The sequence below is a fragment of the Homo sapiens genome, chromosome 8 (genome assembly GCF_000001405.40).
Source record: "Homo sapiens chromosome 8, GRCh38.p14 Primary Assembly".
Lineage (NCBI taxonomy): Eukaryota > Metazoa > Chordata > Mammalia > Primates > Hominidae > Homo > Homo sapiens.
This window is the reverse complement of record NC_000008.11, coordinates 35,528,573-35,540,954: the sequence shown is the minus strand read 5'-3', so window position 1 is coordinate 35,540,954 and position 12,382 is coordinate 35,528,573. Positions and strand designations below refer to the sequence as shown.

At 38.0% G+C, this 12,382-nt stretch overlaps 1 protein-coding gene across 17 annotated transcripts in view, besides 1 other annotated feature; it reads right to left on the bottom strand.

The window, feature by feature from the left end:
- Positions 1–12,382, bottom strand: part of UNC5D (unc-5 netrin receptor D) — a 561,066-nt gene that overhangs the window by 255,586 nt on the left and 293,098 nt on the right. The window lies entirely within an intron of this gene.
- Positions 7,130–7,717: an enhancer, noted in NCBI's record as "NANOG-H3K27ac-H3K4me1 hESC enhancer chr8:35390756-35391343 (GRCh37/hg19 assembly coordinates)". NCBI's record gives its function as "activates a minimal SCP1, AML or CMV promoter by ChIP-STARR-seq in naive H9 embryonic stem cells {active_cell/tissue: H9 hESC(naive)}" and the evidence as "EXISTENCE:reporter gene assay evidence [ECO:0000049][PMID:30033119]".

Sequence of the window (12,382 nt, the reverse complement as noted above, 5' to 3'; positions counted from 1 at the left end):
ACAGCATGGGCCCTAAGACCAGTTCAGCTGTGCATTCTTTGAATGCAAGAGAACCCATGCTGGTCCTAATACACAGGACAGTTATTCTTTCAGCCACACTAACACAGGTGACTTATTTCCCAAGAGGGCCACAAAGAAAAGTTTTGTTTTTCTTTGATTGTTAACTTGTAACCATCATTTTAGCTTTCACTTAAGTTGTCTCCAAAACTGGCCTCTCAAATTGGATCTAAGCCAGAGATTCTACACCAGTTATGATGGCAGATACAGCTTTGTCCCCTAATGGAAACATACAGTGATTTAACCTGAGACACCTGTTCCCATAACAGTTTATTCAAAGAGACTTTGAAGTAAGATGTCAAATTTAGTCCAGGTATTTTTCTCTGGGTCACACAATGTTAGTAATTTAAGTTTGTATTAAGTTTTTTGCTTTTTCTCTATTTTTAGGTTTCTAGAATAAACACATAACCAGGAAACACACACACACACACACACACACACACACACACACACCCCTCTGCTTTGTGAAAGAATATAAAGGGCTTCATAAACTATGGCAATTTTAGCTTTCACTTCATGGTCTCTAACTTTATTGTATTAAAATCCACGTATCAGGGAAAAACAAAATATAAATGTATTTAGGAAAAAAATGAAAAAGAATAAGATTATAAGATTTATAACAATTATTCATTTTAAGATGTAAAAAAGAATATCTTGCTGAGAATATGGAGATGGAGTTTATAAATTGTTTAATTCCTCCCCCAACAATGGATACATTTGTGTATGAATATGTCCCACTGACTAATTTTCAAATTCATCTGAAAACCTAGTGGGATTTGGGAAAGGTTTTGCTTTCAAAGTGTTATCGCTTTTCATTTGTAACTGACAGTTTTCAAGAGTGAGGCCATTCATAGTTATGGAAAAATGGTTGTTTTAATGCAACATTGAATGACAGAAAACCAAACAATCAAACACCATTCTCATATTTTTCACTCTTGGAAAATTACCTTTCAGGAAGAGCTTTATGTTTTATGTTCTGCACACTAATACAGCAAGTATTTTCAATCTTTTTATGACAAAAAGACGAAACAAAAGAGGGAAAACGAAACTGTAAGGAACAAACAACATTAAATTCTCTTTGAAAGAAATACACTCCTGTTAGATGTCAGGTCACATAAAATCCTAGCCTGTGGCCACTTAGCTGCATATCTCAAAATGTAAATATAGGCTGATTTGACTGGAACATGATTCGACGGAATTTTTTGTATGTGATGTGGACACAGGCAAAATAGGGCAGAAGATCACCTTAGAGAAAATCCGAACCGACTCTCCTATCTTAGAAGTCATCCAGGCTCTCAGAGGCTAAACAACTTGTCAACGAGTTCTAAGTCACAGGCACAGGATAAAAACCTCTTTGCACTGACATCCAGAACAGCATTTTTTCATCACGCCCATTTTGTTTTGGTGGAACATGAAATATTAAATTGACAACTAACTTTTGTGTTATTATCTATTGAGAAATTTTACCCTCTAAAATCTTGGAAAGTATCTTTTATAGTGATCTTGTAACTTGTAAACATTCTATAGTTCAATATAGTAAAAGGGAAAATATAGTTAACATTTTATGATATATTTTATATGGAAAATTATGGTTTATACTAAATTATAGAAAAATACAAACACATGTTAAAAATATTCCTACCCATTGTCACCAAATTCCCAAAGACCAATACTATTAATAATTTGATATGATTCATTCTAGTATCTGTTTCTGATGTATACTTAATATTTTGGTTTTGTATACATAGAACACACATATATTTGTAATATATTATCTCATTTTTTCATGGTATTACCTCCTCATAAAACTAATTCTAATGATTGCAGGTGTGTCAGTGTTGATCTATTTCTTTACTATTGAACATTTAGTTATATCAAAATTTTCACTTTATATTGATACTATAATTCTGCACATATCTATATTACACCAAAATTTATATCTTTAGTACAGTTGTCCCTCTGAAGCTTCAATTCTACACATAAAATTGCCTCTAAATATAGTTACTTAAATGTCCTAAAGACCCCTCAAACTTTTATGCTTCAAACAGACTTATTGCTTGGCCCCAAGACTGTTTTTTGGCCTACATCCCATAAAGCTTGTAATAGCTCTAGTATTCACCAGGTTCCCTAAGTTAGAACTTGGGTATCACCTACTTTTCTCCCATTCAGCCCCTATATCGAATTCATCACTAAACCCCATTGATTCCCTCTCCTAAATATCCTTCAAATTCAGCAATTGCTCTTCATCTCCATTCTTCCTATGCTTGTCTGAATCACCACCATCATTCCCCTACATGACTACAATGGATCCTTTTTCTCTTCTGCCTACCCTCCTTTAATCCCTCCTACACACTGCAAAGCAGAATGCTCTTTCCAAAATTCAAATTCAAACATGTCATTCTGTCTTTAAATTCTTAATCCTTTGGATAAAATTCCTCCGTCTTTTGAATAAAATTCATATATATATATATATATATATATATATATATATATATATATATAATTATTTTTTTTTAAATCACGACTGACCAGGCCTTTCATGACGTGGGCCCTGTATTTACCACTAGCTTCAGTGCCTAATCACTTCACCACCTAGAAGCTATAGGGACTGCCACTCAATTCTTTTAGGAATCTAAACTCTCTTCACCTGGAGATCACACGCATGCTTTTCCTTCTGCCCCATGATACGAATGTCCCCCCTCTTTTGCTTATAGCCGATTCTCCTCCTTTAGATTCAGCTTAGCTGACACATCTTATGTAAGCCTACCAGAGTCCCCCAAATCCTAGGTTGGTTACATTCCTCTTCTTTGTTCTTCCATAATACTTTGTACAACTAAGCAACCATTCATGTATACCAATGCCCAACTATTCATGTATGTAACTATTCATGGATATCATGTATATCTAGACTATAGGTTCCATGAAAGCAAAGGATGTGAGACCCTTCATTATTTATATTACCAATGGTTAAATAGCTCTGAGACTCTACATGTGTTTGTTGAATAAATTTTTTAAAAAATAAAAATAAAAATAAATGAAGCTGTGAAAAAATCCTGTGACCATCCTCTTTGCAATAAAATGTACTGAGTGCAAATGATGCATTAGCAGATATCTTTTTAAATTTTTAATATTTTAATTTGTATTTATTTAATTATATGTATAAATAAAATATTTACTTATTTATTATTTTATTTTTATTTATTTACTTATTTTATTTATTTATTTTGAGACAAGATCTTTTCCAGGCTGGAGTGCAGTAGTGCCATCATAGTTTACTGCAGCCTCCAATTCCAGGGTCAAGTGGTCCTCCTATCCCAGCCTCCTTAGTACCTGGTACTACAGATGTGTGACACCATGCCCAGATAATTATTTTCACTTTTTATGGAGACATGTTTTCTCTCTGTTGCCCAGGATGGTCTTGAACTCCTGGTGCCAAATGATCCTCTCACCTTGGCCTCCCAAAATGTTAGAATTATAGGCATGAGCCACCGTATCCTGCCCTAAATTTATTTTCAAAAGGAGTATGCAAATTGACTCAGGCAGCAGCATTATAGAAGCTTAGCAATTTTCCTCATCCTCACCAGCTTTGAACATAATCTCTGAGATATTTGTTAGTTATTGGATAAAAATAATATTAATTGCTTAGTATACACTTGCTGATTACTAGCAAAATTAAATATTAAATCATATTTTTCTACTATTTTTGTTTACCTTCTGAATTGTTTATTCATATTTTTATCATTTAAGTTTTATGTTTTACACAGTTTTAAGGAGAATGTGGCTCTATAATATCTAAAAAGAAAACATAATTTGAATGTATATATTTCATTGTCTTATCATCAAGGTCTTAAATGATACCAATAACACCTTTTTTGTTGTTGTTGTTTGTTTTGTTTTGTTTAGAGATAGAGTCTCGCTCTGTCACCCAGACTGGAGTGCAGTGGCACGATCTCAGCTCATTGCAACCTTCGCCTCCCCTGTTCAAGTGATTCTCCTGCCTCAGCCTCCCGAGTAGCTGGGACTACAGGTGCGTGCCACTACACCCGGCTAAATTTTGTATTTTTATTAGAGACGGGGTTTCACCATATTGGCCAGGCTGGTCTCAAACTCCTGACTGCATGATCAGCCCACCTCAGCCTCCCAAAGTGCTGGGATTACAGGCAGGAGCCACCGTGCCCAGCCACACCTTGCTTTTTATGTTATTTCTTCCAATTCATTAATTCATTCGTGACCATATTTTTAAAAGAATTTTGGATTACAGCAATCAAGAGATGAGTTTCACTATCCCAAATGCAAAAGAATTTTGACCAGAAAGGGTATCTGTTGACAAAAGCAGGTCTTGTGCAGGGAAGAACATACATCTTTAAAAAATAAAAATAGAAATTAATGCTTTATGTGGAGGATTCATAAAGAAAAGGAAAAGACATGGGATTTGTTTTCAGTTTCTTAATGAGATGACCTTCTTTTTACAACAAAGTCCTTCTTCTGGAAATCGCCTAAGACATTGATATGAGGATGAAGTTTTGATGCTTATATGAAATCCTTTAATTCCTTTGTTATTTTTCCTAATACACAGATTGAGTTGAGCCTGCTCGGATGTGGTATTTAGTCAAGATTGACAATACACCACATGGTAATAGTGTCCAGCAAAGAAGCTGCGCCCTGATTTGATTTGACAGTTATCCTGATTGGGATGTGAAACTTGTACAACAGAGGGGGCTTAATTTCCTTATCCTCTTGGAGAAGATGCTAGACACAGTCAGAAACAGATTTATACCAAGTTGTATTTGAAGCACAAAATATTGTTCCTCCTGATATTTTTTATCAAGAGGCAATCTGCTACAGGGAAAGAAATGTGGGCTTTGGAGTTAAGACAGAGCTAGATTCAAATTCAGGCTTTCTTACTATTTAGCTGTGTGATCTTAGGCAAGATATTTAACCTACCTTAGCTTCTATATTCTTCCAGGTAGAAAGAGAATATCGAACCACAAGGTTGTTGTGTGCATTCAATAGCTACATGCAAATAAAGTTGGATATTGTAGGCATATAATAGGCAGTCAGTCTATAATAGGATATTGTTAGCATATTATTATTAATTAAGGAAAAATTAAGGGATGGATGGAGAAGGAGGAAGCAGAGAAAGAGTTGCATCCTGTAGATTATTATTACTTTTTGTCTGTGAGGGAGAAACTGCTAGAGCAAGAGCCCAGTCTACACAATGGCACTCTAGGAAATGCCTGAATATTTTACGTATTTTTTTTCCTTCCAAAGCAATATCTAACATTACAACCCAGTAACCAGTTCTAGAGACCTGGATGCTCTTGAAAGGTTAAGGCTACCTGCCTTTGCCGTAGTGTGTTTGGTAAAGAGCTTTATGTACATCACTGGAAGATCTGCTGTTGTACCTCAAGATTTTGGCATTTGACTTACGGAGCTTAAAAAAAAAATTAAAAAAAAAAACAGCAACAACAACAACAACAAAAAGCCTATTACATATCTGAGCTGTTTAGTACTACCTAATCAGCTTAATTGTACTGAGGTGAAGCCTGGTATGCATACTGTCAGCAAGAAGAACGACGGGGAGAAGAGCACTGTAATAGAGTAAGTTTAATTGCATTATGTGATTTAATTATTTAGTTATCTCAGCACCCTTCCTCCATGTACAAATGAATAGGAATCAGACAATCACGTGCATATTGCTAGGCCATTATAGTTTGCTATTTATCATCAATAGGTTGATAGCTTCCAGGTATCCATGGCTTATAGCAAGCACTTAATTTTGTTGGCACCCAGGGTCTGGGTCAGGAGATGGGTAATGACCTGTATTACTACTGTACAGGTTTTGAAATTAAAAGAAACAACCAATATTACTTGGTACTTTGGGGGAAGATATTAAACCATCAATCAAATGGGTCAGTGTGCCCTAAGAGGAATGAGACATTCCCTAACAGAGGTAACATCTAGAGCAAATATGTGGGAGTTCAGAGAGTTTCAAAACTTTCATGTTAGGTAAGTAGGCACAGAAAGGGAAAGAAAAAAATGGATGTTGATATCATTACACTATATATATGTATATATTTTCTCGTAACTCTCAATCTTTTTTTGTAGCCCAAATATATATTAAAACAAGTTTGACTACAGGGCTTTCCTGATCAAATGTAGTATCTTTGAGCATTTCAAATATTAAATTAGAGAAAAGACACTGTATATCCCAGGAAGGACCTATTCTGTGGTACCTTTACTTAAAAATGGCCCTGAATACTTTTTGGATACCATTTTATATAAATGAGTAAACAGAGCTATTTTGAATTGATCTTGAAGTAAATGTAGAACCATCAACCCAAAGTTTCTCAAGCAGAAGACCAGAGTAAACGTAACTTATTTTGAATTGATCTTTAAGTACATCTAGAACCATCAACACAAGGTTTCTCAAACAGGAGACCAGTGACAGTGTTTATAGTGGATGTCACATTAGTGTTAGAATTTAACATCATAACTGCAAATTAGAAATAAGCACACTTAGTACCCACATATGAAGACAATATCATGTCATTAAAAAACATTAAAATCTGTGTTTAGACAGTGTTTAAAGTTGACAGTAGGATGGAAACAATGGCACAACAGTGTCAGAGAAAGCTGACAAACAGCATTACGAGTTGCTCATCAAAAAAACTCTAGATATATGCTACATTACCATTTCCTCCCTATAATATTATACAATTCCAGCGATAAAAAACTACAAAAGAAAACTGAGACCTACAAATGACTTTTTTCCATTGACAAATGATGATATATGATATCAACTATAAAAACAACCAGTTGTGGCGGGAGGAGCCAAGATGGCCGAATAGGAACAGCTCCGGTCTACAGTTCCCAGCGTGAGCGACGCAGAAGACGGGTGATTTCTACATTTCCATCTGAGGTACCGGGTTTATCTCACTAGGGAGTGCCAGACAGTGGGTGCAGGCCAGTGGGTGCGCGCACCGTGCGCAAGCCGAAGCATGGCGAGGCATTGCCTCACTTGGGAAGCGCAAGGGGTCAGGGAGTCCCCTTTGCGAGTCAAAGAAAGGGGTGATGGACGCACTTGGAAAATCGGGTTACTCCCACCCGAATATTGTGCTTTTCAGACCGGCTAAAAAAACGGCGAACCACGAGATTATATCCCACACCTGGCTCGGAGGGTCCTACGCCCACGGAATCTCGCTGATTGCTAGCACAGCAGTCTGAGATCAAACTGCAAGGTGGCAGCGAGGCTGGGGGAGGGGCGCCCGCCATTGTCCAGGCTTGCTTAGGTAAACAAAGCAGCCAGGAAGCTCGAATTGGGTGGAGCCCACCACAGCTCAAGGAGGCCTGCCTGCCTCTGTAGGCTCCACCTCTGGGGGCAGGGCACAGACAAACAAAAAGACAGCAGTAACCTCTGCAGACTTAAGTGTCCTTGTATGACAGCTTTGAAGAGAGCAGTGGTTCTCCCAGCACGCAGCTGGAGATCTGAGAACTGGCAGACTGCCTCCTCAAGTGGGTCCCTGACCCCTGACCCCCGAGCAGCCTAACTGGGAGGCACCCCCCAGCAGGGGCACACTGACCCCTCACACGGCAGGGTATTCCAACAGACCTGCAGCTGAGGGTCCTGTCTGTTAGAAGGAAAACTAACAAACAGAAAGGACATCCATACCGAAAACCCATTTGTACATTACCAGCATCAAAGACCAAAAGTAGATAAAACCACAAAGATGGGGAAAAAACAGAACAGAAAAACTGGAAACTCTAAAATGCAGAGCGCCTCTCCTCCTCCAAAGGAACGCAGTTCCTCACCAGCAACGGAACAAAGCTGGATGGAGAATGACTTTGACGAACTGAGAGAAGAAGGCTTCAGACGATCAAATTACTCTGAGCTACGGGAGGACATTCAAACCAAAGGCAAAGAAGTTGAAAACTTTGAAAAAAATTTAGAAGAATGTATAACTAGAATAACCAATACAGAGAAGTGCTTAAAGGAGCTGATGGAGCTGAAAACCAAGGCTCGAGAACTATGTGAAGAATGCAGAAGCCTCAGGAGCCGATGCGATCAACTGGAAGAAAGGGTATCAGCAATGGAAGATGAAATGAATGAAATGAAGCGAGAAGGGAAGTTTAGAGAAAAAAGAATAAAAAGAAATGAGCAAAGCCTCCAAGAAATATGGGACTATGTGAAAAGACCAAATCTATGTCTGATTGGTGTACCTGAAAGTGATGGGGAGAATGGAACCAAGTTGGAAAACACTCTGCAGGATATTATCCAGGAGAACTTCCCCAATCTAGCAAGGCAGGCCAACGTTCAGATTCAGGAAATACAGAGAACGCCACAAAGATACTCCTCGAGAAGAGCAACTCCAAGACACATAATTGTCAGATTCACCAAAGTTGAAATGAAGGAAAAAATGTTAAGGGCAGCCAGAGAGAAAGGTCAGGTTACCCTCAAAGGGAAGCCCATCAGACTAACAGCGGATCTCTCGGCAGAAACCCTACAAGCCAGAAGAGAGTGGGGGCCAATATTCAACATTCTTAAAGAAAAGAATTTTCAGCCCAGAATTTCATATCCAGCCAAACTAAGCTTCATAAGTGAAGGAGAAATAAAATACTTCACAGACAAGCAAATGCTGAGAGATTTTGTCACCACCAGGCCTGCCCTAAAAGACCTCCTGAAGGAAGCGCTAAACATGGAAAGGAACAACCGGTACCAGCCGCTGCAAAATCATGCCAAAATGTAAAGACCATCGAGACTAGGAAGAAACTGCATCAACTAACGAGCAAAATAACCAGCTAACATCATAATGACAAGATCAAATTCACACATAACAATATTAACTTTAAATGTAAATGGACTAAATGCTCCAATTAAAAGACACAGACTGGCAAATTGGATAAAGAGTCAAGACCCATCAGTGTGCTGTATTCAGGAAACCCATCTCACGTGCAGAGACACATATAGGCTCAAAATAAAAGGATGGAGGAAGATCTACCAAGCAAATGGAAAACAAAAAAAGGCAGGGGTTGCAATCCTAGTCTCTGATAAAACAGACTTTAAACCAACAAAGATCAAAAGAGACAAAGAAGGCCATTACATAATGGTAAAGGGATCAATTCAACAAGAAGAGCTAACTATCCTAAATATATATGCACCCAATACAGGAGCACCCAGATTCATAAAGCAAGTCCTGAGTGACCTACAAAGAGACTTAGACTCCCACACATTAATAATGGGAGACTTTAACACCCCACTGTCAACATTAGACAGATCAACGAGACAGAAAGTCAACAAGGATACCCAGGAATTGAACTCAGCTCTGCACCAAGTGGACCTAATAGACATCTACAGAACTCTCCACCCCAAATCAACAGAATATACATTTTTTTCAGCACCACACCACACCTATTCCAAAATTGACCACATAGTTGGAAGTAAAGCTCTCCTCAGCAAATGTAAAAGAACAGAAATTATAACAAACTATCTCTCAGACCACAGTGCAATCAAACTAGAACTCAGGATTAAGAATCTCACTCAAAGCCGCTCAACTACATGGAAACTGAACAACCTGCTCCTGAATGACTACTGGGTACATAACGAAATGAAGGCAGAAATAAAGATGTTCTTTGAAACCAACGAGAACAAAGACACAACATACCAGAATCTCTGGGAAGCATTCAAAGCAGTGTGTAGAGGGAAATTTATAGCACTAAATGCCCACAAGAGAAAGCAGGAAAGATCCAAAATTGACACCCTAACATCACAATTAAAAGAACTAGAAAAGCAAGAGCAAACACATTCAAAAGCTAGCAGAAGGCAAGAAATAACTAAAATCAGAGCAGAACTGAAGGAAATAGAGACACAAAAAACCTTCAAAAAATCAATGAATCCAGGAGCTGGTTTTTTGAAAGGATCAACAAAATTGATAGACCACTAGCAAGACTAATAAAGAAAAAAAGAGAGAAGAATCAAATAGACACAATAAAAAATGATAAAGGGGATATCACCACCAATCCCACAGAAATACAAACTACCATCAGAGAATATTACAAACACCTCTATGCAAATAAACTAGAAAATCTAGAAGAAATGGATAAATTCCTTGACACATACACTCTCCCAAGACTAAACCAGGAAGAAGTTGAATCTCTGAATAGACCAATAACAGGAGCTGAAATTGTGGCAATAATCAATAGTTTACCAACCAAAAAGAGTCCAGGACCAGATGGATTCACAGCCGAATTCTACCAGAGGTACAAGGAGGAACTGGTACCATTCCTTCTGAAACTATTCCAATCAATAGAAAAAGAGGGAATCCTCCCTAACTCATTTTATGAGGCCAGCATCATTCTGATACCAAAGCCGGGCAGAGACACAACCAAAAAAGAGAATTTTAGACCAATATCCTTGATGAACATTGATGCAAAAATCCTCAATAAAATACTGGCAAAACGAATCCAGCAGCACATCAAAAAGCTTATCCACCATGATCAAGTGGGCTTCATCCCTGGGATGCAAGGCTGGTTCAATATACGCAAATCAATAAATGTAATCCAGCATATAAACAGAGCCAAAGACAAAAACCACATGATTATCTCAATAGATGCAGAAAAAGCCTTTGACAAAATTCAACAACCCTTCATGCTAAAAACTCTCAATAAATTAGGTATTGATGGGACATATTTCAAAATAATAAGAGCTATCTATGACAAACCCACAGCCAATATCATATTGAATGGACAAAAACTGGAAGCATTCCCTTTGAAAACTAGCACAAGACAGGGATGCCCTCTCTCACCACTCCTATTCAACATAGTGTTGGAAGTTCTGGCCAGGGCAATCAGGCAGGAGAAGGAAATAAAGGGTATTCAATTAGGAAAAGAGGAAGTCAAATTGTCCCTGTTTGCAGATGACATGATTGTATATATAGAAAACCCCATTGTCTCAGCCCAAAATCTCCTTAAGCTGATAAGCAACTTCAGCAAAGTCTCAGGATACAAAATCAATGTACAAAAATCACAAGCATTCTTATACACCAACAACAGACAAACAGCCAAATCATGAGTGAACTCCCATTCACAATTGCTTCAAAGAGAATAAAATACCTAGGAATCCAACTTACAAGGGATGTGAAGGACCTCTTCAAGGAGAACTACAAACCACTGCTCAAGGAAATAAAAGAGGATACAAACAAATGGAAGAACATTCCATGCTCATGGGTAGGAAGAATCAATATCATGAAAATGGCCATACTGCCCAAGGTAATTTACAGATTCAATGCCATCCCCATCAAGCTACCAATGACTTTCTTCACAGAATTGGAAAAAACTACTTTAAAGTTCATATGGAACCAAAAAAGAGCCCGCATCGCCAAGTCAATCCTAAGCCAAAAGAACAAAGCTGGAGGCATCACACTACCTGACTTCAAACTATACTACAAGTCTACAGTAACCAAAACAGCATAGTACTGGTACCAAAACAGAGATATAGATCAATGGAACAGAACAGAGCCCTCAGAAATAACGCCGCATATCTACAACTATCTGATCTTTGACAAACCTGAGAAAAACAAGCAATGGGGAAAGGATTCCCTATTTAATAAATGGTGCTGGGAAAACTGGCTAGCCATATGTAGAAAGCTGAAACTGGATCCCTTCCTTACACCTTACACAAAAATCAATTCAAGATGGATTAAAGACTTAAACGTTAGACCTAAAACCATAAAAACCCTAGAAGAAAACCTAGGCATTACCATTCAGGACGTAGGCATGGGCAAGGACTTCATGTCCAAAACACCAAAAGCAATGGCAACAAAAGCCAAAATTGACAAATGGGATCTAATTAAACTAAAGAGCTTCTGCACAGCAAAAGAAACTACCATCAGAGTGAACAGGCAACCTACAAAATGGGAGAAAATTTTCGCAACCTACTCATCTGACAAAGGGCTAATATCCAGAATCTACAATGAACTCAAACAAATTTACAAGAAAAAAACAAACAACCCCATCAAAAAGTGGGCGAAGGACATGAACAGACACTTCTCAAAAGAAGACATTTATGCAGCCAAAAAAACACATGAAAAAATGCTCATCATCACTGGCCATCAGAGAAATGCAAATCAAAACCACAATGAGATACCATCTCACACCAGTTAGAATGGCAATCATTAAAAAGTCAGGAAACAACAGGTGCTGGAGAGGATGTGGAGAAATAAGAACACTTTTACACTGTTGGTGGGACTGTAAACTAGTTCAACCATTGTGGAAGTCAGTGTGGCGATTCCTCAGGGATCTAGAACTAGAAATACCATTTGACCCAGCC